Below are 26,668 nucleotides of genomic sequence, written 5' to 3'. Positions count from 1 at the left end.
TGAATAACCACCGAAACTCCTTCTCTTAGAGCTTCAATCTTTCAGATTTCCCTCCTCTATTTGCCATCATGTGCTATGTTACTACCCCAATGCTTGCTTCAAATAACTCATTTGAAACCTTTGTATTTATTTGTCTCATTGCTAAGCCAGAAAAAGTTCTGCAAATAGCATTTATTCTGTACTCACAATGTGCCACATATTGTGCTAATAAGCACTTTAAGAATATTAGGTCATTTAATTTTCAAAAGAATACCACTGGGTAGCAAGACCCATTCTGCGTACGAAAGGAAGAAAGGGGAAATTCAGACCAAGCTTTATACAGAAAGATATTCATTTATTATAACAATAAAACATAATTTAAAAAGCAAATTAGCAAGAATTTGAATGTTCAAAAACCAGGGACAAGTTAATTATACCAAAGCCGTATGAGAGAATACACAGTAGACACTGAAAATAATGCTTATGTGGCGAAATATATTTAAGGTTTTAATAACCAGTGTTTAAATGCACCTGTAGAACATAGTTCCTAAGCTGTGGCCAAACCATATACTGACCTCTACCTATATGTTTTAACGTATATACATTTTAATCATAAAGTACTGGACTTTTCTATTATTTTGTTTTTCAGGCTTCTGTACACCATCCACAAAAAGAGATAAATGTTTCTCCTTTTAAGGCTCTACAAAGCAATAAATTACTTATTTTATATAACAAATTTCAATTTATAAACTTATGCATTTCATTATGTAACGTTTTGGTATAAACAGTAAAAAAAAATCTATTGACCTTAAATTATATATCTAGTTGATGTTAATGAACACGAAAAACACTTATAAAAAATGCAACATGAAAAGAATCAAAATACAATGTGCCAGAGGGTTTCACAGTCAAACAGGAAAAGAATTAGAAAAATACGTCTATGGCAGTGAGAATGTGATCTCAGGGCCTTCCACCTCATTTCTTCTCTCTGACTCATAATTAATATGGGAGAGAACTGTCATGAAAGAAGTATGAGGAGAATATAATTAAGACTAGCAAATGGCATATAGAAGGGATGGGGTACTAAGGCTATAATATTCTATTGAAGTTAAAAGTGTTAAGTATTTTGGAAGCAGTTATTTTGTGAAATAAACTGGAGGAAGAATCATGTCAGGATTGGTAATTTAGACTCCATTTTTTTAGATTGGAGGAAGAGAGGTCTACTTTCTCCTGCTTTCTTCCACTGTTACAAGGAAGACTTGTTATGCATCAGGAAGATGCAAGATGCACATACGCTAGAGACAGAATTAATACTTGTTAAAAGTTCTTATTACACTTTTACACTGGCTAAAATGGTAAGATTTTGTCTTATTGTGAATAAGAGAAGGTCCAATCACCTCATTTGCTATTTATTCCAGCCAGTCTGGTAAAACTAACATATTGACTAATTTCTCTTTCCTCTGTCTCTTCATTCCATGCTTCAAACTAAAGTACATTATAGGCTGGGCAAGGTGGCTCATGCCTGTAATCCCAGCACTTTGGGACGTTGACGTGGGTGAATCACTTGAGGTCAGGAGTTCGAGACTAGCAACGGCCAACATGGTGAAACCCCATTTCTACTAAAAATACAAAAGTTAGCCGGGCGTGGTGCACGCACCTGTGGTCCCAGCTACTTGGGAGGCTAAGGCATGAGAATCACTTAAACCCAGGAGGTGGAGGTTGCAGTGAGCCAAGATCATGCCACTACACTCCAGCCTGGGCAACAGAGCGAGACCCTGTCTCAAAAAAAAAAAAAAATTAAAATTTATAAAGTATGTTACAGATCTGAGATTTGGGATAAGTCACCTCACAGACCTTAAGCTAGCTTTCCTAGAATTCTATACTCTACATTAAAGTTTTATGTAGAAAGTAGAAAAGTTCCTCTTCAAAGCTCATCTTGATTTAAAAATAAAATAAAAGACACTAGGAATAATAGCTCCTTACTCTAAAGCCTCCTATCAACTATCAGTTCTTACGCTTTAGCCCAGTTAGTTGCTTTGGCTTACTCAAGCATGTCTGGACAGGCCCAGGCAAGTCTTAGCTCACAGCTTATGCCCCTTCCTTATTTGGAAATGTTGTTGCTTCCTTAAACCTTTCATAAGCAACTTCCTCTTCCTCTTTGTTCTCCTTTGCATTTACCTATTTAGGAAAGTTTTAGGTTATTAGCAAATCAGTAATCAGTTTAAGACTGTGAGGTCCAGCTCCAGCCAATGGATGCAGGACACAGCAGTAAGGACAACCCAAATGCATAAGGGATATATATGTCTGCTTTTCCTTTGTTCAGGTGTGCTCTCGCGATTGTTCCATTTGCGAGGGGCACGCTTTCTGCAGAAAGTAAAGATTGCCTTGCTGAGAGATCCTTTGTCTCCGTGCTGACTTTTCTTCACGGCACCGATTATCTGTTTCTAACATTTTACATATAAAGCTCTTCATTTTTTGTTACTTTGCACTGTTCCCAGTGAGCGTTACTTTCTTCACAACATAAGTGGGAGGGTGGGGCTGTGATCTAGAGATATTTTATGTTAGTACTCCACCACTTGTGTTCAATCCCACTTTAAATCCTAACATCCAGCATGGTTTGAATAAGTAAAACAGTCACATGGTATCTGAAAAACAAGGTACCATACAGATAGACTGAAGCTTCTGCATAAGAAGATGTCACTAATGTTTACCATTTATTTTTTATTATTTTTTGTTTTTTGAGATGGGGTTTCACTCTTATTGCCCAGGCTGGAGTGCAATGGTGCAATCTCAGCTCACTGCAACCTCTGCCTCCCAGGTTCAAGTGATTCTCCTGCCTCAGCCTCCTGAGTAGCTGAGATTACAGGCACCCACCACCACACATGGCTAATTTTTGTATTTTTAATAGAGATGGGGTTTTGCCATGTTGGCTAGGCTGGTCTCGAACTCCTGACCTCAGGTGATCCACCCGTCTTGGCTCCCCCAAAGTGCTGAGATTACAGTCGTGAGCCACTGTGCCTGGCCCAATGTTTAGAATTTAAAATGCAAGTGTGATTGCTGGTACGCCGGCAATTTTCTAGATGAAGCAGGTCAGTTACACAAGGCAAGGGCATGCTGTTAGATAATTTCAAACTCTAGGAGCAACGATATTCTAGACGGAGTAAAACTACCACCAAAAAAAGCTGAGCAGTACAAGTTGAGATAGGTACTGTCCCAACTTGTGTTTCAGTTTGTCTTATTATGAATTGAATCTAGAATCAAAGAGAAAACTGCTTGGTAGACTTAAAGAATCTGCATGTCTTATCTGAAGTCTAAGATCTGAAAGTAAACAAAAAAGGTAAGAGACACTGCATCAGCCTTATGTGTGGTAGAAAGCAACAAATTAAAACATGTATTGCAATTGAAAAAAGAACAGTACACATCTATCATAAAAGAATTAGCACAAAGAATGCTGAGGTTCTCGAAGTGTTCACTGAGGAGCCCTGGGGTGCCAGAGAGTATTTTCACTTTTCATAGGGAACACAGCGACATCTATGGGACACTGTGAGAACTACTAGCGAAAGGTAGTTCATAGTTTCAACATTAGAATATTCCATATTCCTTCTGGTGATGTCATAAACCCATCTTTGCTAAGGTGGGTTTTCAACAATAAAAAGCAACTTCCTATGAAGAATCACTGTGGAAGAAGACATGAGAGTGCAGTTATCCTTATGATCCCAAGATGTGGGAAGTTATATAGTGTACAACAGGCAGACATGTCCCATTAGTTAATTGTAATCATGTACTAATGGAATAAAAATATTACGTTTTCTCTCAGTATTTGTATTTTTCAAAAACTCCTGTTTTAAGACTTAAAATACTAACTAGTAAGCACTTCTTAATAAATGGAACTGTTGGGTATTTCTTTAGGTCTAGGGACACACTGCAGAAACATTACAAGGACACTGAGGACACTGAATTGAGAAAGTCTGGAAACTTTGATAGAAGTGGAGAGCTGGGCTCCACTGCTGAAATGAAAAGGGCAAAAGAAGAAAATGAGAACCAGGCTCCACCGCCAAAAAGAAAAGAAAGGTCAAAAAAGCTTTCTGTTGCCACTAAAAAACAGAATAAACTCAATACCTGGAAAATTCAAGAGCTGAGGAAAGATGAGATTTCTGCAAACGTGTACACGAGCGATGATATTGGTCTTCAATGTGCCTCTGAGGACAACATAGGCTTTGGAAATTTATCAGTGAGGGTCCTAGCAGCATGCAGATAGTACACTGAAAGAGTTTAACTAAAGAGAGTTTTTTAAATTGGCTACTTATGGAGATGTGATTAAAGTTAAACCAACAAGGAATGAAAAGAATCTGAGGACAAGCAACAGTAGAAATCCATTATCACTCTTAGCCTGAAGGGGCAAGAGGAACTTAAATCATTGCCAGAATCTGATTTAGACTAAATCTTAAAAAAGGAACTACCCGACAGGAGTTGGTGGCCATAGATGAATGCTGTTGTGAAAAGCAAGGCAAGGCAAGGAAGGAGAAAGGGAAATACACACTGCGACTTTCCTTTCCTCCTAGCTCTTGGATCTCTTAACAGTGTCTCTCATTGTAAGTCAGAGCCAAGTAATTCAAGTGAACTTTGTAGTCATCAGCCCAAAAACAGGGTAGGACAGGGAAGGAAGGACAATGGAATCCACTGGGGAAAAACAGAAAACCACCACCTCAAGAAACAATAATATATGTTTTCAGTTCAGCAGTCCAATGAGAGTGATTCTCCAGCTGGAACAAATGTGACAAAAAGAGGGAAACTTTGGGATCATATGGGAGGATGAGAAATACAGAGACAACAGTAGGAGACAGAGATAATGGAGACTATTAAGGCCATGATCTTGGCAGGAAAAGTCGGCCTGCTATAGATGTGGGTTACTGCCTCTGCTCCCTTTATAGGAAAGACAAAAACAACTATGATAGAAACTGCTATGCTCTATCAACTATGCACAACTGCTTCCTATGTCAATCCACATCATATAAAAAGTTCCAAAGACTCCTAATTATTCCAAACCTATTGTATACTTTTCTGCCTCCATGTCTTTACATATATAGCTTCTATTTCTAATCTTATATCTTATTCTCCAACTCAAACCTATATTGTTACATAAGATTTTCCTACTATTCTTTCCCCCATACCAGTCCAAATTCTCCTCATCAAGGGCAAGTTAAACATCCATCTCTTCTACAAAGGCATCCTTTAAATCCAGCCCACATTTTTTCCCCAAGGTTTTTTGAACGCAGCTATCTTTTTATGTATCCTTGTAGGAACTTATGTTCTCAAATCTGAGGACTCATGGTTGTCATCATTCTGGAAGTTACTGGCTATTATTCCTTCAGATGTGGCCTCTGCCCCATTCCTTCTAATCCTTCCTTCTGGAACTCCACTCCGTGTGTTAGTCATTCTTAGTTTATCCTTCATGTCTCTTAATCTTTCTTTCATATTTTTCATCTCTTAATCTTTTTGTGTTGTATTCTGGGCAACTTCTTTAGCACTTTCAGGCCACTAACTCTCTCTTCTTTTCTTTAACATATCCTCTTAGTTTTCCATTTCAGAAGTTATATTTCCTATTTTTTAGTTCTACTTGGTTCTCTTTGTCATCAGCACCAACAATTTATCAATAATGGTCAATAATGTTTCATCTCCACGTTTCCCCCATAATTATTTGAAGCAAATTTCAGACATCTAAAATTTCATTTTATTTATTTATTTTAAAACTCTGCTTAGTCTTTTTGGCTCATCACCTATCCTTTGCTCATGTTTTCAAACTCTTCTATTCTTTAAATACTATAATCATTTAAATATTTAAACACAAACTTTAAAATATTTTATATTATATATTTAATAATCCCATTATCTGCTTCTGCTTGGTCATGGTGGCTATATCCTCATGTATTTTAAAATTTTGTATGCAAGCTCATGTTGGTAGAATTATTATTCCCCTAAGCTTCTGAAATACAATTTAATAGTTTTTTATTTTGTCTCAAACAATTTATTTTTAACCTACCAGGCCTTAGGGTCCTTTATGGAAGGAATACCTCTGGTGCTTTTGCATTCTTTGGCATTTCTTTTTAAAAATTCTTCTTAAAATTTCACTAATTTTAAAAATTGTTTTCTTTTTTGTGTGCATTTATTTATAGAATAGAGATGAAGTCTTGCTGTGTTGCCCAGGCTAGTCTCAAACCATTCTCCCATGTCAGCCTCCCAAAGTGCTGGGATTACAGGCATGAACCACTGTGCCTGGTCTCTATTACATTTCTCACAGTGCTAAATGGAGGCCTTGAGTATTAATTTACAGATCAGAGAGGTAAGAAAAAGCTAAAATGTCTACACTATGTTGTAGAGCAGTGATTTCCTAATAACAAGTGAGGCACAGATAATTAAATCAGATTCAGTTGTGTGGAGCGAGATGAGAGTAGGTAAGGAAGACATTCTCTCTCTTTTTTTTTTTTTTTTGAGACGGAGTCTCTGTCGCCAGGCTGGAGCGCAGTGGCGCAATCTCCGCTCACTGCAACTTCTGCCTCCCAGATTCAAGAGATTCTCCTGCCTCAGCCTCCTGAGTAGCTGGGACTACAGGTGTGCACCACCACATCCAGCTAATTTTTGTATATTTAGTAGAGACAGGGTTTCACCATGTTGGCAAGGATGGTCTTGATCTCTTGACCTCGTGATCCGCCCACCTGAGCCTCCCAAAGTGCTGGGATTATAGGCATGAGCCACTGCACCTGGAAGACATTTTCTTTCTTTTTTTTTTTTTTAAGATAGAGTTTTGCTCTTGTTGCCCAGGCTGGAGTGCAATGGTGCAACCTCAGCTCACCGCAACCTCCGCCTCCCAGGTTCAAGTGATTCTCCTGCCTCAGCCTCCTGAGTAGCTAGGATTACAGGCGCTTGCCACCACACATGGCTGATTTTTGGATTTTTAGTAGAGATGGGGTTTCACCATGTTGGCCAGGCTGGTCTTGAACTCCTGACCTCAGGTGATCCGCCCGCCTCAGCCTCTCAAAGTGCTGGGATTACAGGCGTGAGCCACTGTGCCTGGCCCTGACATTTTCAAATTTATACCTGCCCTCCCTTCTCAGATTCTGACCTGTATCTATTTGGGAATCACTGTATTGACTAGAGTGTGTTGTATTCTTTGGGTATGCTGCAGCAAAAAAAAAAAAAAAGGTTGAGCAAACCTCCTTTTCAGTTTTAATTATTTTCATTCATCCCATTAATACTTAGTGAATATGTATACTAAGTGTCTTCTGTGATAGAGATACAAAGATAAGTAACATATGGTCCTGCTCTCAAATAGTTCACAGTTTTGCTTTGGAAGACGGAAATTCTGGGAGACAGAAATGTAAATCAATACTGGCAATACAGTGGCATATACAATATGCACAATGACACAAAACAGAGAGCTGACCAATTTTTTTGTAAGGGAAAGGTAGTAGGAAGATCAAAAAATATCATAATTGCTCAAATTGGGTTTTGAGAGCTATATCTAAAGATTAAAGGAGAGGACAAAGTCATCAGAGGGGAAAAAACATACAAAGGTAAGGAAGTATATAGTACATCATAGGGATAGGAAACAGTTTCATATAGTTAAAGCCTAGAATATAAGTAGAAATGCTGTGAGAAATAAGAATGAAAACATGGGCAGAGATAAGTCATGAGGAGCTTAGCATGACTTGGAGTAGAATTTGGTCTTTAACTTGAAGTTACAGGCTGGTACTAAAGGGTTTCGGTGTAAGGAGGGGTAGGGATTGGATCACATCAGGCAGTACAGGCTGAGTATCCCTAACCTGAAAAGCTACAAAATCTGAAACTTTCTGAGCACAAATATGACAATGAAAGGCAATGCTCATTGGAGGATTTGGGATTTCAAATTTTTCAGATGCTCAATCAGTTTGCATTTTTAAATGCAAAGATTCTAAGATCTGAAAAAAAATTTGGAATCTAAAATACTTCTGGTCCCAAGTATTTCAGATAAAGGATATTCAACCTGTATAGTTGCTAAAAAGAAAAGCACTGGGATCAAACTGCCTTGCGTATGCATGCACACTCAATAAATGTTTGTAGAACAAATAGGTTAAATCTTAATCCCACACCACTTAGTAGTTCTGTGACCGTGAGCAAGTTATTTAACTTTGCTGGGTCTCAGATTGCTCACCTGTAAAATATGTGTTAATGGTATCAACCTTGCAGCGCTGTGTGAGAATTAAAGGAGTTAATACAACTCCAGTACATAAGTCAATCTCAATATGTCGCCTTTTATTATTATTGTGATATGCAATGAAGAAAATCTACACTGCCAAAAGGATAGACTAGAAATAGAGACAAGTTTGCTAACTCTAATGAAGAACAAAAGCCGTGGCTTCAGACAGACTTGACTTTGGTGAGAGATGCTTGTGTTGATTACTGGCTCCACCACTTTCTAGCTGTGTGGCCTGAGAAAACTAACTGAAACTCCTGGAACCTCAGTACTCTCTAAAATAGAAATAATTGTATGTATATCATAAGATTATTGTGAGGATTAAATTAGACACTATACATAAGGTTTTTTGTTCAGAACCTATAATGGCAGTAGAAACTTCAGTTTAACATATGGGAGGGTGAGGAAGAACAGATTCTGAACACAACTTATTTTTCAAGAATCTTGTCTGTGAAAGAAAGACCTATCAATAGAGCTAGGACGAAGCAAAATAAAAATTTTTAATGGGAGGAATGTGAGTATATCCAACAAGAATAAGATATCAGAAGAAAGAAGTGGTTAAAAATATAGGTGCTAATAGGGCTAACTTATGAAACAAGGCTATAGGAGACTAGAAAGAATGGAAACTAGAGGGCAACTTGAATGATCATAGACTGTAAACAGGAAAGAGAGAGACTTCGTTCTCTGAAACCAAGGAGGAAGATACAAAAAAATTAGCAGGTGATAGGAGAAAGCTGAGGTCTGATGGTCTTAAATCTAATCTATAAAACAAAAGCAAAGGAGTCTGACGTGGGGTAGAAAACTTGAAGAGACAGGCAAAAGAAAAGTTGCTGGTAATGAAATAAAAATGTAAAATGTGGGATAACTTTTACAAGCCTAGCTAAGATTGAAAACTAAAATTTGCAGTAGTAAATGTGATCATTCAGGATATAGAGCAGAGAAGCAACATTCAGGATATAGAGTAGAGAAGCAGAATAGAAATTATTTGCTATTGGGAGTTTCCACAGCAGGTAGGTATAAAGATAAGGTCAAAGGATGCTGTGGCAGTATCAGTAAAGAAATGCTTCAGAGTAACATTGGTTTTAGGGTAAATAGAGAAGAAAATTAAGTTTGGAAGGGGCTGATAGCATGAAAATATCCTGAAGAATCAAGGAAATGGAAATATTTGATCAAATATCTAGCTTTGTGATAATAAAAAAAACAGCTAGAAGAAAAACAATAACAAGAGCTATCGTTTACTGAATACCATTATGTACAAGGTATTATCCTAGGTGCATTAATTAGTTAGCTAATTAATGAAAGGGTTTCACTCTGTTGCCCAGCCTGGAATGCAGTGGCATGGTCTCAGCTCACTGCTGTATTCAACTCCTGGGCTCAAGTAATCTTGCCTCAGTCTCCCCAGTAGCTAGGACTACAGGCTTGTGCCCCAAACTTGGCTAATTATTCTAGGTGCTTTCTGTAGTTTATCATTCAGGACAACAAGAGAACTGGTGAAAGGCTGGCATATTGATTTTTTTTTTTTTTTTTTGAGACAGAATTTCGCTCTTGTTGCCCAGGCTGGAGTGCAATGGCATGATCTCGGCTCACCGCAACCTCCGCCTCTCGGGTTCAAGTGATTCTCCTGCCTAAGCCTCCCAAGTAGCTGGGACTACAGGCATGTGCCACCATGCCTGGCTAATTCTGTATTTTTAGTAGACATGGGGTTTCTCCATGTTCGTCAGGCTGGTCTTGAACTCCCAACCTCAGGTGATCTGCCTGCCTCAGCCTCCCAAAGTGCTGGGATTACAGGCGTGAGCCACCGTGCCCAACAGGTATATCGAATTTAAGATTTCAATTTGTGTAGCACAGTTCATTTAAAATGACAAAGGAGTAAAGGTATACCAGAGTTCAGGAGTTCAAAGAAGTTTAAATAGTGGTATATTATATGGGTTGTTTACATATACAGTCCACCCTCTGTATCTGTGGGTTCCTTATCTGTGGATTAAACCAACCACGACTGAAAATATTTGGGGAATAAAAGGATAGTTGTATTTGTACTGAATATGTAGACTTTTTTTTCTTGTCAATATTCCCTAAACAATACAGTATAATAATTTATATAGCATTTACATTGCACTGGGTATTATAATTACTGTAGAGATGATTTAAAGTATACAGGAGGATGTGTGTGGGTTATATGCAAATACACCATTTTATATAAAGGACTTGAGCATCCATGGATTTTGGTACAGGGAGAGGGAGTCCTGAAATCGTTCCCCATGGATACCAAGGGACAACTGTATGCAGATATTTTAAATCCCTCATAATGATGGCAAATGTTGGAAGGAAGAATAAAAGTCATCCTTAATGAATATCAGAGAGTACCTGATGTTCAAGAAATAACAGAAACAAAAAAGAAAAAAAAGTAGGCAATTCTATACTGCTGACCTATGAACAATACAAGTTTGAAATGTACAGGTCGACTTATACGTGGATTTTTTTTCAATAAATATACTGGAATCTTTTTTGGAAATGTGCAACAGTTTGAAAAATCTGCAGATGAATCACATAGCATAGAAATATCAAAAACATTACAACAAAGATATGTCATGAATGCATATATGTAGATACTAGTCTATTTTATCATTCACTACCATAAAATACACAAATCTATTAGAAAAGGTTAGAATTTATCAAACTTACACACAAACACTTACAGACCATACATGGCACCATTTATAGTCAAGAGAAATATAAACAAACATCAAGATGCAATATTAAATCATAACTGCATAAAATTAACTGTAGTACTGTACTACTATAATTTTGTAGCCACCTCCTAATGCTCTTATGGTGAGCTCAAGTGTCAACAGTATCCATTTAAAACACTATGTAAATCTAATTATTTCTGCCTGAGCAGTTCATCTCTCTAGTAAATTGCATATGGCAGTAAAAGTGATCTGCCTCAGTTCTTGCATATTTTTCATGGTATTTAATGCAATACCATAAACCTTGAATAATATTATGGAACCCTTACAAAGTACCACTAGTGATGCTGGAAGCGCTCCCAAGAAGGGGAGAAAAATCATGACATTACAAGAACAAGTTGAACTGCTTGATATGTATCCTATATATTGAGGTTTGCAGTTGTAGCTTCTGCCATTTCAATATAAATGAATCCAGAATAAGAACCACTGTAAAAGAAGAAAAGGAAATTTCTGAAGCTGCTGCTGCAGCTAAGACGGCAGGCACAAAAACCTTGTATTTTTTGCAAAATAGACTGTCTATGTTATCAATAAGGCTTCTGGTCCACAGTAGACTATTAGTATTTAAGTTCTGGGGGAGTCAAAAGTGTTATGTGGATTTTCGAGTACATGGGTTGGAAATGTAGGCTTGTGCTCCCTAGCCCCTGCGTTGCTCAAGGGTCAACTATACAGCTCATAGTCTCAAAGAAGTCATATAGCCCCAGAGGAATACATGACATGTTATTTATTTATTTATTTATTTATTTTTTGAGACGGAGTCTCACTCTGTTGCCTAGGCTGGAGTCCAGTGGCACGATCTTGGCTCACTGCAACCTCTGCCTCCCAGGTTCAAGCGATTCTATTGCCTCAGCCTCCCGAGTAGCTGGGTTACAGGCATGCGCCACTATGTCCAGCTAATTTTGTATTTTTAGTAGAGACGGGGTTTCTCCATATTGGTCAGGCTGGTCTTGAACTCCCGACCTCAGGTGATCCGCCCGCCTCGGCCTCCCAAAGTGCTGGGATTACAGGCGTGAGCCAACGCACCCGGCCGACATGTTATTTTTAACAGCGGTGGAATCTGGAAGCAGCAAAGGAGGGGTAAAAAAGATAAGTGTTACAGCTTTGTTACAAGTTAAAAAACAGTATCTCAGATGAAACAATACTCCCAGTGTCAGACAGTTTATAACATGTAAAAAATTAAAAGTATCTTTGTATTCCTACTCTTGTTCTGCTATATTATAGTGCTTTACTCCCCATTAAAAAATCTGTGACCAGGTATGGTGGCTGCATGCATTTTTATCCTTTTCTAGGGAGAAAGCATCTTTCTCACTGCCATGGTTGCTATGAGAAATAATTTCCCCATTTTCCCTAAATATCTGGATAGGTCTTTACCTCAATACTCTTATTCAAACCTCAGAATCTGTTATCTGATAGGAGACTCTGGAAGACAAACTGGACATGAGGAACATAGCCCATTCCTTCTTTTCTGTTGAAAGCCAGGCTGTTCAATGGAAGTAGTTTGCTCTTTTCCTCCCTGCTTTAAATTTTACACAGATCGGGGCCTACAGTGATCCAAGAGACTGGACATAACCCCACTCTTGCTGCATACCCAGCCATACTCTCAAAAAACAGCTTATTTTTTCAGTAATATGGATATTTTATTTTCCATTAGTCATTTCTTTGTTTCTCTCAACTAGTTCAAAACCTGGGCAACTCCACACACACAGCTTTTTTTTTTTTTTTGAGACAGAGTTTCACTCTGTTGCTCAGTGCAGTGGTGCAATCTCAGCTCACTGCAACCTCTGCCTTCTGGGTTTAAGCAATTCGCATGCCTCAGCCTCCTAGGTTAGCTGGGATTACAAGTACCCACCACCATGCCCGGCTAACTTTTGGATTTTCAGTAGAGACAGGGTTTCATCATGTTGGTCAGGCTGGTCTCAAACACCTGACCAAGTGATCTGCCCACTTCGGCCTGCCGAAGTGCTGGGTTTACAGGCATGAGCCACCACACCTGGCCCACACACAGCTTTAAATTGGTTACTTTAGTGTCTCATTCTTAAGAAAGCCATGGATGGCCACACATTTGCCCAAATATACAATATGATAAGCAGACATCTTAAAAGAGACCTCAGAAGTAGTAGAGACAATTCAAGAAGAAAATTTAAAACTGATATTCTCAGTTTTAAGAGATGGTATTATCTCCATGAGAGAAAAACAGGGTGTTGTTTTTCAAAAACTAAACAACAAAAATGAACTTCTAAAAATTAAAAATATGACATCAAATGTAAATTTTTCAGTTGTAAAAATTTCCTAGAAAGTAGAACAAAAAGACAGAAACCATAGACAAAAGAAAATCACAGGATCAATCTAAGAGGTTTAACTACCAAGAGAAAACACTAAAAATGGACATGAGAAAATTATCAAATAAATAACTCAAGGAAATTTATTGGATCTGAAACAAATAAGCTTTCAAACTGAAAGTGCCACACAATATCCACCAAAAAGAATGAAAGATACCCAAGTAAGATACACTACTGTGAAATTTCAGAATCCCGGGGAAAAAAAGATAAAATCTTAAAAGTTTTTAGAGATCTAGCAGATCTAACAGATCATGATTAAATATTAAAAATCAAGGGAGACACAGAATTCTCGACTGTAATACTGAGGCTAAATAATAATTACACAACTCAAAATTAATGAAAGTAATTTCCAACCTATTAGGTTGGTACAAAAGTTATCACAGTTTTTGCAATCAAAAGTAATGGCAAAACCGCTATTACTTTTGCACCAACCTAAAAGAATTCTATACTCCAAGTATGATAGTAGAATATACATATTTTCAGACATATATCATCTCTAAAACTTTATTTCATTCACCCTTTTCTCAGCATGAAAATGAAGGATATGATTCACCAGCATGAGGAGGTAAAGCAAGAAGATGGAGTGATCCAAGACTCAAGTGATCCAATGTAGAAGAGAGTTCTCAAGATGATAGTAAAACAAAGTCTCAAGATGAAAGCTGTGTAGCAGCTATATAAATTGGAGCAGAAAGATGTAAGGCCCCAGAAAGGATGCTTCTAATGGGGAAGAAATGCGGACTAATACATAACCAAGCATACCTGCTTACATAGAGTTGTTTCAGAGTCCTTCTGGAGCTTTTGGGGATAAATAATAGGTATGCAGAAAACTAAGCAAAACAAAACAAAGAGGTATTTAGTGGCCCTAAGGGAGGAAAAGGTATTAAAAAGGAAATATAATCACCATACAGAACTTGGTTCATCTATGGACAATCTTTATAGTTATAATAAACACTAGATTACTGATTTAACATAATTATTTGGGAGAATGAGAATAGGAGTGCGGTGGTTTAAAAGTTAAATTCCAATCTTCTTTCATGTAGTGTGAGTCAAAAATTTCTGAAAATTAGAAACCAATAAATGAAAAGTCCCTTGGGTTCTTATAATCTTATTTTGTTGTTGTTATTATTATTATTATTATTATTATTATTATGAGATAGAGTCTTGCTCTGTCGCCCAGGCTGGAGTGCAGTGGCGTGATCTCAGCTCACTGCAACCTCTGCCTCCGGGGTTTAAGCAGAGTCTCAGCCTCAGCCGCCCAAGTAGCTGGGATTACAGGCGTCTGCCACTGCACCCAGCTAATTTTTGTATTTTTAATAGAGATAGGGTTTCACTATGTTGGTCAGGATGGTCTTGAACTCCTGAACTCAGGAGATCCGCCCGCCTCGGCCTCCCCAAAGTGCTGGGATTACAAGCATAAGCTACTGCACACGGCTAACTTCTTATAATCTTGTGACTTGCCTTACCTTGCCGTTTCACTCCTGTCATCATACTGTCATACCAGTAACTATAATCCTTCCACAATCTCAACTGTCTGCATCTTTCTCTCTGAACATTATCTCCTAATATTCTAGTTCACTCTCTCTAATACTTCAACATCCACTGATATGACAATCCCACTGTTAGTCCCAATCCATGAATCCTACCACCTTTTTACTTGTCCTAACTGCTTCTATACTCTCTTTCCCTCCTTTCCCAGTGATCGGTCGACATTTTCTATAGTTCTGCTCTTAACAACACTGAAATCTGCTAAAATTGTTCTAAGCTTTGGTTCTAAGGACAGGGCTCTTCTCTGTTTCTAATATTGATAAAGAACTTCTACTACTATGTTAGTAACGTTATTCTAAAGGAAAGGTGCAAGGGAAAGAGTTAACAGGTCTTAGTGTAACATTTTGTCATTTATTTCAATCTCTCATGGGAGCTTCATTAAGCTTTTTATAACAGGAAGGCTGAGGGAATTCAGGAAAAATGAAAAATTGCATAGCTACAAGAAAATATAAAAGAGTAACCCGACAGAATAGAAAGAACACAGAGCTGGTAGTAAGTAGACTTCATTAAGAATCCTGGATTAGGCCAGGCACGGTGGTTCAGGAGTGTAATCCCAGCACTTTGGGAGGCCGAGGTGGGTGGATTACCTGAGGTTGGGAGTTCAAGACCAGCCTGACCAACATGGAGAACCCCCATCTCTACTAAAAATACAAAATTAGACAGGCGTGGTGGTACATGCCTGTAATCCCAGCTACTTAGGAGGCTAAGGCAGGAGAATCACTCGAACCTGGGAGGCAGAGGTTGCGATGAGCCGAGATTGTGCCATTGCACTCCAGCCTGGGCAACAAGAGCGAAACTCCATCTCAAGAAAGAAGAAAAAAAAAAAATCCTGGATTATACCCTACGCTAGTTACTTAGCCTGAGGGCCATAATTTCCTTAGTTTGTAAAATGGAGCTAAATTATACCAACAATTTAAAAACGTTTTTTCTAATAGCAAAATCCAAATGATATTTTACATAAAATCCCAAAACAACACAAAAGACTGTGTTGCGTCCTGAGACAATTCTGCAGAACACTGAAGCTCCACAGAACATAATTTGAATTTTTCTAGATCATTCTAGATCTAGATCATTTCTAGAATTATCCTACAACTCTAAAAAGAACCATGAATTTTTTATCTTGAAATGAAACAGTACAGACGACTTAGTTCCCGAATGCCATAGAAGACAAAGTTGACATATGAGGCAAAATGCTGGAAACAAACATGTCAGTTTAAAGCAACATTTTCTATAAATTTTTTCTTCTCTTTTTTACTAAGGCCGCTTGAAATGTTTCCATCTATGTTTTTATAAACATTTTTTATAGTCTATAAATACAAAGGATAAAAGAATAGAAAGCACATGAAAATGTAAAATATACTATGTAAACAGAAGGACCTATTTTAATAGGGAATGTGGTTTCTGCCAAGGAAAAGTTTATAATCAAATTAGGGATAAGAAAGATGCCTCTCAAGAACCTAGAGGACCTGCTTAACATGCACAATGTCTTCCAAATTTTAAAAGGAGCATTATTCCAAAGTGGGAAAAATGCCTGATGCCATTGAGGCGAAAAACATTTTCAGGTGAAGATTACAATGGCAGGGAAAGAACAAATAACAGTTATCACAGTCTTTTATTGTTCTAAGCTTGTAGTTTAGGTAATTTAAAACCATATTATCTCTTCCAGGCACTCTTCATCTTCTGCTGTTTCCTCCTCTGTGCTACTGTTATCTTTCTATCTCATTCAAATCACCAGAGAGAAAAAGAGCATCCATTTAAAAGTTAAGACACTGAAGGTCTAGTACCAGTCCTGAAATTTACTGGTATGTAACTAACCTGGATCTTGGTTTCCTCAACTACAAAATAATGGCAAGATTCTAAATTACTTGTAATTTCTCTTTTCAATATAAAACTTTATTAACAATAACCTTGTTATAAGAAAAATCTCCTAGCTAGTCATTTTCCCTCTAATAACAATTCTTTAAGTTTCATTTTGATATTACTCAGTAATTACCTTAAATAGGCTCGAAATGAAAGGAAATGACATTCAACCAGGTAGTTCTCCATTCTCAAATCCCCTTTCATAATATTCAAATTCATAGCCATACTTCAAACCCCAGGTTAAAAGAAAGAATATCCCTGAATGGCTTAAATGTACCGGCAATGCAAGGTATTTTACATATACTACTCTTGGTTTTTCATCCTAACAGTTCTGTGAGTATTACATTCCTACCTCCACTTTAGAGACTGCAAAACATTGAATGCTTTAAAAATGTTTTGGTGATTACTGTTCTATCCTCTACTTTTAAAACTGGGAAAGAATTAAAATTGAATGCTTTCCCAGTTTTAAAAGTAGAGGCTTAGAACAGTAATCACCAAAACATTTTGAGAGCACACATAGTTAAGCATTGTAAATCTGCTTTAACATAATTAATTTTTAGAATAACATATATACCATCAACCTAAATACCAAATAATAAAAAAGTTTAGTATCTTTCTTAGTTTTTAGATAAAATTACGATTACGTTTTAATATTTTCCTCTCACAACCCAATGAATGGACTTGAATCTAAAAGTTACCACTATGGATTTAAATCTACTGTGGACCAGGTTAACTTCTGATGGGTTCTATGGCCACAGACTGAATTCTAGCTATTCAAATTATTCTTGAAAGACACAAACACACAGAAGGCTGGGTGACCAAGCCTAATAGCTCATTTCAAATATAGCTCGAGTAAGATAACCTACACATGGTGAGCCAGAAGAATCGCCTTAGCTGTTAGCGCATTAAGATCACCAATATGCTTCAATATTACACCTTACTGATCTTTAAGTTTGCTATGAATGAAACATTTTCAAATTACTACACAAATGAAAGATCCTACAGCAATCTGATATTCATCTCTATATTAAGGTAGATTTATGCATAACTCATTGAATAAGAAATGTAAAAAAAAAATCTAAGTTCTATTTTTATTCTTGTTAAGAATACAACTTGTTGAAGCCTTCTAAAAAATATAACTCACATTTAAAATGAATTATAATTAAAATTCAAGTAAAATGTTAGTCCTCTTACCCTGTCCAGTTCCAGTGTAAACTTCTGGTCCCATGACTGATTGGAAATGGGTTTCCAGCTAGTTTGGCCAACCACAGTATTATCGAGCTTCAAAACAGCACAGACATCATCTGTAATTAAAATTTACAAACTTGCTTAAAAACTTTAAACCTTTATAAAAAACAGAAGTACTGCTGTTTGATTAGCAATAAAAGTCTTAAGACCCTTTGAAAATAAAGTTTTTCATAATCAATATTAAAACTTTTGAATCTTAAATGGCTAGTTTTACAGATACATATACTCCTACTAGACACTCCCAAATTGTTTGACAAAAACACAAATAGTGACTGCTATCTCTTTTGTTTACATTGGCATGTGACTGAAAGAACAGATAAATAGTAGTTGTTTGCCACACTGTTTGTGTGAATATCAATCAGTTTTTCTTTCTATATCTTATATTTATAGAGCTTGTTTCCTTAAACAATTCCTTATTTTCTTATTTTTCTTAAAGCCTCTCTCTATACACATGAAAGCACAGGCAAATTCACTTTTGTATTCTACGGTAGGCTGAACTGTCACATGCTTTTCCCCCCAGTTATACATCTACATATAGTTTATGCTTATACTTCAGAATTTCTCCCCAGTGCTTTCCAAACCTCTTGCATTTTACTCTCCTCAAACCAACCCCTACCATCCCCCATCTCAGTGGACTACCAGGCTACTATCTCAGTAAACACGTCTGGATCAGCAGTTAGATTACCAAAATTTCAATGTTACTATTAAAGTGTCACTAAACCATTAAAAGAATCAAGGCTGGAGATGGTGGCTCACACCTATAATCCCAGCACTTTGGGAGGCTGAGGTGGAAGGACAGCTAGAGCCCCTGAGTTCGAGACCATCCTGGGCAACATAGTGAGACCCTGCCTCTAGAAAAAAAAATTAGCCAGGCATGGTGGCATATGCCTATAGTCCCAGCTACTTAGGATGCTGAGGTAGGAGGATCACTTAAACCCAGCAGGTTGAGACCTGATTGCACCACTGCACCCAGCCTGGGCAACAGAGCAAAACACTGTCTCAAAAAATAAAGAAAAATAAAAGAATCAAGATACGATTCTACAAGAAGGACCAGTCTCATAGCTTCTGTATACCTTCAGTTTGGCATAAGAGTGATGCTCAATATTTCATTCTTCCAAAAGAACTAATGTCATTTGTCATTAAGTTTTCTAATGTATCTTCAACAAAACAGAATTTGTTGCCTTTTTGTTTCCTGACATCACAGGTTTTAATATTTTTTAATTAAATTATAAAAACCATAATTTTAAAGTGTTTTGTCCAACTTGAACACTTCATAAATCCCTTGTATAAGCACTTTAGTTTGTTACATGATTTTTAAAAATCTGGTTACTGAACTGGACAAGTCATCGGTTTTTAGAAGATTTCGACTACTTCCGCTTTTACTTTTACTCGTTCTGCTCATGAAAGATGATCTGGTTTCACTTGGACTCCAACCAGGCAGTGCAACTGATGTTGCTTTTGACCGTCCAGGGACATTCTCTAGGATATCTTGGCAGCCCATAAGACGAACTTCCAAAGTACCTGTTGGCAAACATAAATATCAGATAAGAACATCAACCCTTAATCTATGGAATCCTTAATCTAAATCTCTTACCTATTCAAAAAAAGAAAAAAAAAATCTGGTAACAAAAACTCTTCTCCCAGAGGATCTATGAGGTAGCTATCATCTTTCCTATTTTAATTAGAGAAACCATTACAAATTCTTTAGACAACTATAAGAAATTTTATAGAAAAGAACAGCACCTCCTGGCTGGGCACAGTAGCTCTCTCGCCTGTAATCCTAGCACTTTGGGTGGATTGCCTGAATTTAGGAGTTTGAGACCAGCCTGGGCAACATGGCAAGACCCTGTATACTAAAAATACAAAAAATTAGCTGGGCGAGGCGGTGTGCGCCTGTAGTCCCAGCTATCCGGGAGGCTGGGGCACAAGAATTGCTTGAACCCAAGAGGCAGAGGTTGCAGTGAGCCAAGATTGCACCACTGCATTCCACCAAGACTCTCTCTCCAAAAAAAAAAAAAAAAAAAAAAGGAACAGCATCTCCCAAAAGTTGTCTGTATAGAGGGCATAAAAGAAAACAAGTTACATAAACTATGTTGGTAGAGGTATGGGAGGAGAAACATAAAGCTAAATAATATGCCACTAAAATGGCACATAAAAATTGGAAATAAGGAAGTCTCACTATGTGAATACCAACTATGTTTAATAGTTACGTAGTTAACACAGAAAAGAACTTTACAGGGTTTTTGTATAACTAAATAAATGTGTTCTATTTGATGTAAAATGACATTATCTTTCCATTCTGTTAGTTTAATTAGCCAAAAAATCATGGGTTGTAATTAAACATAAAATAACTTCAATTTATTTAGGCAAATAAATACTAAAGGTGTTCAAAATGAAAATAAAGAACTATGAGTTAGGTCCTCTGGATATATGGCTTTGTCATTATTTGGGCTAGACACAGTATACTAGAATTTAAATAATGCTTCCGTATTAACATTTTAGATACTGTACAATGAATAACATTTTAGGAGGAATATTTCTGGTAAAAGTTGTCCCATTAATTTAAATAACTACTTAATTTTACTTAAAGTTTTAAATTGTTTTTAATAACACTGAAGTACTTATATATTTCTATCCAAGTAGTAACAAACAAAGCTTCCCAATTCAAACTACCAAAAAAAGAAAATCAGACAAAATATATGAAAAAGGTTAAAGACGAATAGTGATCCCTGAGAGATGGGAAACAAATGAGATAAGCCCTAAGATTGCTCCAGCTTACTGTCTTAAGGGTTTCTAGGACACAGTGCAGGGAGGGGGAAACTCAGGCGGAGCCAAGTTGAAGAGACAGAAATAAGAGTACAAGGAAACCAAAGCAGCTAGAGTTCACAAGGCAGTTAAAGCTGTTCATAGAAAGAACTCCTGAGATGGTCAGAGGGTTTTCAAGTATTCATCAAAGTACTAATCAGCACCTGCCTATGAAGAAAATATCTGAGGCAGGGGAAAGAACCCACTGAAAAAGTTAGAAAGAACAATACTCAGTGCATATAGGTAGGAATAGTGTTTGTTACCACCAGCCAGGCTTGAAAATCTCAATTCATGAGGCACTGAAGAAAATATCCAGAAGAGTCTTGCCCCAGCAGTAGAGAATAATTACCCCTAAACTAAATGATGCTTGTTTCACATAACAAATCTTAAAAGCAGTACCCAAAAGGGTCATATTGTTTCCAAGTAACTGTGTCCTAGAACAAAGCTCAAGAACATTTATAGAAATACAAAAATATTCAGCATCCAGCAAGGTAAAATTCACAATGTCTGCATCTACTCAAAGATTACCAGGTGTATTTGCTTTCTATGGTTGCGTTACAAATTATTACAAGCTTAGTGGCTTAACTGACATAAATGTTAGGGTTAGAAGGCAAGGACATCAAAACAGTCAATCTACTGAAAATGTGGCACAGACACATGGAAGAAATGAAAAAGACTTAAACCAAATTTCTAGTGATTAAAAAATGGCAATATCTGAGATTAAAAAAAAAATACACTGGATGGGACTGCAGGCAGATTAAACATTGCAAAAGAAAAGATTAGTGTCCTTGAAGACACAGCAAAGAAATTATCAAAAATAGAAGACACTAAAGAAAGACTTGAGAATAAACAAAGAACAGTGCATATATTAACTGTGAGTTTAACTTCAAGTGGCCATATATGTGTAACTGAAATTCCTCATTAAGAGAGAGCAGAAAGAATCGGAGACACAAAATGTATTAGAAAAAAAAAAGGCCATGAATTCTCCACATTTGATGAAAAGTATAAACTCAAGAAGTATCCAAGAAGTTCAAAGAACACTAAACAAAGAAACAGAAGCAAGCCATACTAAAGCACACCATAATCCAATTTCTCAAAACAAGTCGTGAACAAGAAACACTAAAAGTAGCCAGAAAAAAACATGTTACGTAGAGAGGAACAAAGATTAAGATGGCAGGAGATCTCTCATGCAAAACAATGAAAGCAAGACCATACACTTAACATATGTATAGTTTTTGTATGTCAATTATTCCTCCAATAAAACTGCCCTAAAAACTGGATTACTGATGATGGTGAAATAGGCATATACATTTACTAAAAAAATCATACTGTGTATGTTTAAAATGAGTGAATTCTATGGTATGTAAACTATACCTCAATAAGGCTATTAACGTTGGGAGGTGGAGTGTCAATAATGTTTTGCTAGACTGTGGAAATCTTATCTTACTGTACAGTGATAACACATTAATTATATCATTTTGAGTTAAAAAATTTGTGTTTCTTATTTGTTTTGTTGTTGTTAAACTGGCAAATTTAGCTAACTTCCACTGTAAATGCTCAACTGTAAAATGCATCCTGGGGAAACTGAAAACATCTGGCTACTACTTCAAACTATGGTAGCTTATTAAATATTTTAGCAATTTCAATACATCAGAACATGACAATGCTCAACACCTGCTTTCATTTAGGAAAAAAATCTAGAGGGAGTTCTTTATTAAACATCTAGAAGTTTCTTTATGAGGTGACACAATTGCATATAAACACATTAGAAATAGCTTAAAACTACATTCATAAAGCACAATATGAAATTTTTAAAACAAGCAAATCCAAGAAGTAAATGTTGGTATTCAGAAGTAATAACTATGAATTGCATTAGAACAAGTAAATGCTTTAAAAATTTTCTTTCAACTGTCTGGAAAACTATTTTATACCTATTTCACTAATTCAGTATTTCATCATGGTATGATTAGGCAACTTTTTTTAATTCTGCAGAAATATCCTCTTATAAAAAACTAGTAAATTTCTCAAAACATGGAGAAAAAACAACAAAAAAACAATTATACCTTATTCAAAGTAGCAACAAACTGGCAAATTTCAGTAGTATAATCATACAACCACAAAAGAAACTGGAGTATGAGACGAACCACAAATAATAGCATGCAGTGAAAAATTCAGAACAGCAAATGCTCTTACTATTCATCCATGTTCATCTTTTCGTCATGTGTAGTCTTCTATTAATGTCAGTAGTATTTCTCTCCCTAGTTACTTAAAATTTAGTTTATGGTCCAGTAGGAGCTTAAAGAATTTTTTAAAAATGTCTTAAGAATTGTAAGATACTTCTTTTTAGGTTGGTGACTTATATAACTTTGAGTAAAGTTCAGTAATGGAATGAGGAACAGGGGAAGAAGGAACTGAAAGGAGGGAACAGGAGACTAGAATAGAAAAGGAAAAAAATTTCCAGTCATTATCAGCTGAGTTTCTAAAATGTGATTTTATTACTTTTCTAGAAATATTGTTATTCAAAATATTTGACAACCTTATTTTAATCAATGGATCATTCAGAAATGCTTGAGTATCAACAATGTGTTCAGCATTGAGCCAAAAGGTGGTGAAACTTAGCAGACAATAAGTACAGTCCTTGCCTGCAGTATAGTCCCTGCCTAATTGTCAGATACTATTTACCAAGTACTTGTTGAATGTATCAAATATCCTGTGCTGGAGGCTAGGATTATATGTAGGTAGATGACAAGGTCTTTGCTCTTTACAGGTCTATATTCCAGTTTTGATTTAAAAATACATATAAGAAGATGAATACTAAGGCAAAGACATTTAAGCAAGGTAGGGGAGGCACTGGGCACAAACCAGTTTATGACAGAATATTCATGATAGGAGTTACACAGATATGACTGGAAAGATAAATAGTTATCAATATGAAAGAATTAGATCAGAGGTTCCCAAGCTTTCTCAGTTCATGGTGCCCTAATGTTTTATTAAACTATTTTTTAACTGTGTCCCTAGGCCAAAAGATATACCTTATAGTTTTGTTGATTAAACAGTTAGGTCCAAACATAGGATATGATTGCTTTCCTAACAAATTAATAGCTATTTGAAAAAAAATACATATAACTAAAAGAAAAAGTATTTTCATTTCATTCTTAAGCAAGATTACTTCTTTTTGGGCACTGTATAACTCTAAAGCTTTGGAATCAGTTTGGAAACTACCACACTGATTTCCTATTCCACACTGATTTCACACAGCACTTTAAAAAAACCAAAATCACAGCAATTGAGGAAAACCCAGCTTCATAAATACACAACATCACTGAAAGGAATGTAGCTCCACCTAACCCTGAAACTGTAACTACCTTGAGCTAGTAGTCTGAATGGTGACTACATGAAGTACAGATAATGCTGTGCATCCCTCAAAAACAAAATCCTGATGTGGCCCTGTGAATTCACTTTGGTATCCCAGGTTGCCTCAGATTTAAGCACTCAATTTGTGAACTGCACATTTAGACTGATCCTAATTAGTGGCAACAGCGAAGTTTAACTGTAAATTTGTCCTTCATGTTTTGATGTATAAGTTTAACACAGAATAAAACTGATTAATGATACTCTTTAACAACCGGAATGTGATAGTATGCTATGCAATATTGAAGAACACTTTCATAACCTCAAAAATTTTAAGGTTTGTTGGCATTAATATTTATAAGAAAATTAAAGGATTCTGGAAAGTCTGTGTAACAAAAATATGTCATATTCACATGGTCCATAAAAAAGAAGCCTTTGTAGGTGATGTCAGAGAAAATGATGGAGTAAGAAGGTCCTCATGTGGTACAGATCAGATCACATAGTATCTAGTATCTAGGATGGACATAATTGCAGAATAAAGTATATTCCTTTAATAAATCTGGCCTTGTGAAATTGTTTTTTAAAAAGATATATGTAATGAATCCTAAAAAAAAAAAAGTACAAAGACAGTCTCTTCACAGAAACAGAAAAAGAAACTGACAGAAACTTTCAGAACTGAGTTTATCAGAACTCTGGAAAACATTCAAAGGTTTACTACAAATAAGCAAATGTTTAATCAAAATCCAAAAAGCAAGGGACACTCCGGAGAGCTCTGTGGAGTTTTCACTTACCTTTGCCTCATCCCTCCCTTCACTCCCAATACCTTGGGGGCAGTATTGAAGATGGCAGCCTGCTGTAAGGAGGGAGCAGAGAAGATCTTTTTCTCAAATAATTGTGGTCACCTGCTTTGACCTGTCTGAGGGCTCCCTAAAATACTAACACCAACAGCTTGCCATTATTTCACGTAACTAGAAAATCTTTGGCTGGGCGCGGCGGCTCATGCCTGTAATCCCAGCATTCTGGGAGACCAAGGCGGGCGGATCACAAGGTCAGGAGATCGAGACCATCCTGGCTAACATGGTGAAACCGCCCCCACCCCCGTCTCTACTAAAAATACAAAAAATTAGCTAGGCATGGTGTTGGGCGCCTGTAGTCCCAGCTACTCTGGAGGCTGAGGCAGGAGAATGGTGTGAATCCAGGAGGCGGAGCTTGCAGTGAGCGGAGATCACGCCACTGCACTCCAGCCTGGGCAACAGAGCGAGACTCTGTCTCGAAAAAAAAAAAAGAAAATCTTTGAAGGCAGAGAAACAGCTAAGTGGAGGGCATCTGTCAAAAACAATGGAAGGCAAATGAACCAGTCTCTGCAAACTAAGGAAAAAGAGGATCAGTTGGGGTAAACAATAGAAAAGCCAAAGAAACTGGGAGGAAAAGCTAGCAGAGGAAATGCTTTGGAGAATAAAAGACTTTGCAATGCTTCTACATATTATTGGGAAACTAGAAGGCTAGGTGCAAGCAAGAGGCATCCTCGGAAGAGATCTGAGAACACCCTAAGCTCTAACCTATGGTTGACTCTCAAGCTCTGCACAAAGCAAATGCAGAGTTGTAAAGTGTCTGGGTGAGTGCTCAAGCACAGGGCCCAGCTGCAAAGACTAGGCAATCTTTTCTTCTTCAGGAATTAAAGGAAATGTCTGTTGAAACACCAGATGACTATATAGTAAACCAAAAAGTATCTGAGACAGGTCTCAATTTAGAAGTTTATTTTGCCAAGATTAAGGATATACGTGACACAGCCTCAGGAGGTCCTGACAACACGTGCCCAAGGTGGTTGGGTTACAGCTTGGTTTTGTACATTTTAGGGAGACATAAGCCATCTATCAATACATGTAAAAGGTACATTAGTTGGGTCCAGAAAAGATGGACAACTCGAAGTAGGGATTTTCAGGTCACGGGTGGATTCAGAGATCTTCTGATTGGCAACTGGTAGAAAGAGTTTATCTAAAGACCTGGAATCAATACAAGGGAGTATTGTAAGAGTGCTGTTAAGATAAGGGGTTGTGGAGACCCAGGTTCTCATTTTGTAGATGAAACCTCCAGATAGCAGGCTTCAGAAAGAAGAGACTGTAAATGTTTCTTATCTACTGAAAGAGTCTGTTCAGTCAGTCTTAAGGTCTCTGTTTTGATGTTAATGCTGGTCTGCAGTACCTGAATTCCAAAGGGAGGAAGGCATAATGAGGCATGTCCAAACCACCCATTCCCAGCACGACCTGAACTAGTGTTTCAGGTTTACTTTAGAATGCCATTGGCTGAGAGGAGGGGGTCCATTCATTTAGTTGGGTGGCTTAGAATTTTATTTTGGTGTACAATATATTAATGAAATAGACACCTCAGGGGTAATACATGAGAAAGAATAGTCTCTACAAAATAGATTATAAAAGTTACTAGGCAAACAACTACATTCAACATATAGCAGAAAAATGAAATCTTTGGAAAGAGTAAAATCTGATTTGTGAGTAAGTATACTAAGGAAATGAAGTACTTGAATTATGAAGCAAGCACAGTAACAGAAT

The 26,668-nt window shown here is 36.9% G+C and overlaps 1 protein-coding gene and 1 long non-coding RNA gene across 8 annotated transcripts in view, besides 2 other annotated features; both read right to left on the bottom strand.

Moving 5' to 3' along the window:
• Positions 1–26,668, bottom strand: part of PKN2 (protein kinase N2) — a 151,983-nt gene that overhangs the window by 32,151 nt on the left and 93,164 nt on the right. For 4 of the 7 annotated variants that reach the window (XM_047425224.1, NM_006256.4, NM_001320707.2 and 1 more), the window contains 2 exons: positions 19,281–19,466; positions 17,892–18,001 (listed from right to left, as the gene is read on the bottom strand). In XM_047425224.1, coding sequence (XP_047281180.1) covers positions 17,892–18,001; positions 19,281–19,466 — 296 coding nt within the window. Of the gene's footprint in view, positions 1–17,891; positions 18,002–19,280; positions 19,467–22,943; positions 23,120–26,668 lie in introns of those variants that run through there. The other 3 variants (XM_011541772.3, NM_001320709.2, XM_017001782.3) reach the window with 3 other exon arrangements.
• On the bottom strand, positions 314–14,470 carry LOC124904214 (uncharacterized). The gene is made up of 2 exons (XR_007066211.1): positions 14,052–14,470; positions 314–12,010 (listed from the first exon to the last, which is right to left on the bottom strand). It is a non-coding gene; the product is annotated as an uncharacterized LOC124904214 (long non-coding RNA).
• Positions 1,191–2,390: an enhancer, noted in NCBI's record as "BRD4-independent group 4 enhancer chr1:89267398-89268597 (GRCh37/hg19 assembly coordinates)". NCBI's record gives its function as "activates an origin of replication core promoter dependent on BRD2, P300/CBP, MED14 and CDK7 cofactors, and independent of BRD4, by STARR-seq in HCT116 cells {active_cell/tissue: HCT116}" and the evidence as "EXISTENCE:reporter gene assay evidence [ECO:0000049][PMID:35650434]".
• Positions 1,973–2,082: an enhancer, noted in NCBI's record as "active region_1292". NCBI's record gives its function as "activates an Ori minimal core promoter by ATAC-STARR-seq in GM12878 lymphoblastoid cells {active_cell/tissue: GM12878}" and the evidence as "EXISTENCE:reporter gene assay evidence [ECO:0000049][PMID:35858748]".

This window comes from Homo sapiens, chromosome 1 (genome assembly GCF_000001405.40).
Source record: "Homo sapiens chromosome 1, GRCh38.p14 Primary Assembly".
NCBI lineage: Eukaryota > Metazoa > Chordata > Mammalia > Primates > Hominidae > Homo > Homo sapiens.
The sequence above is the reverse complement of the archived record's forward strand: the minus strand, read 5'-3'. Positions and strand labels throughout refer to the sequence as shown.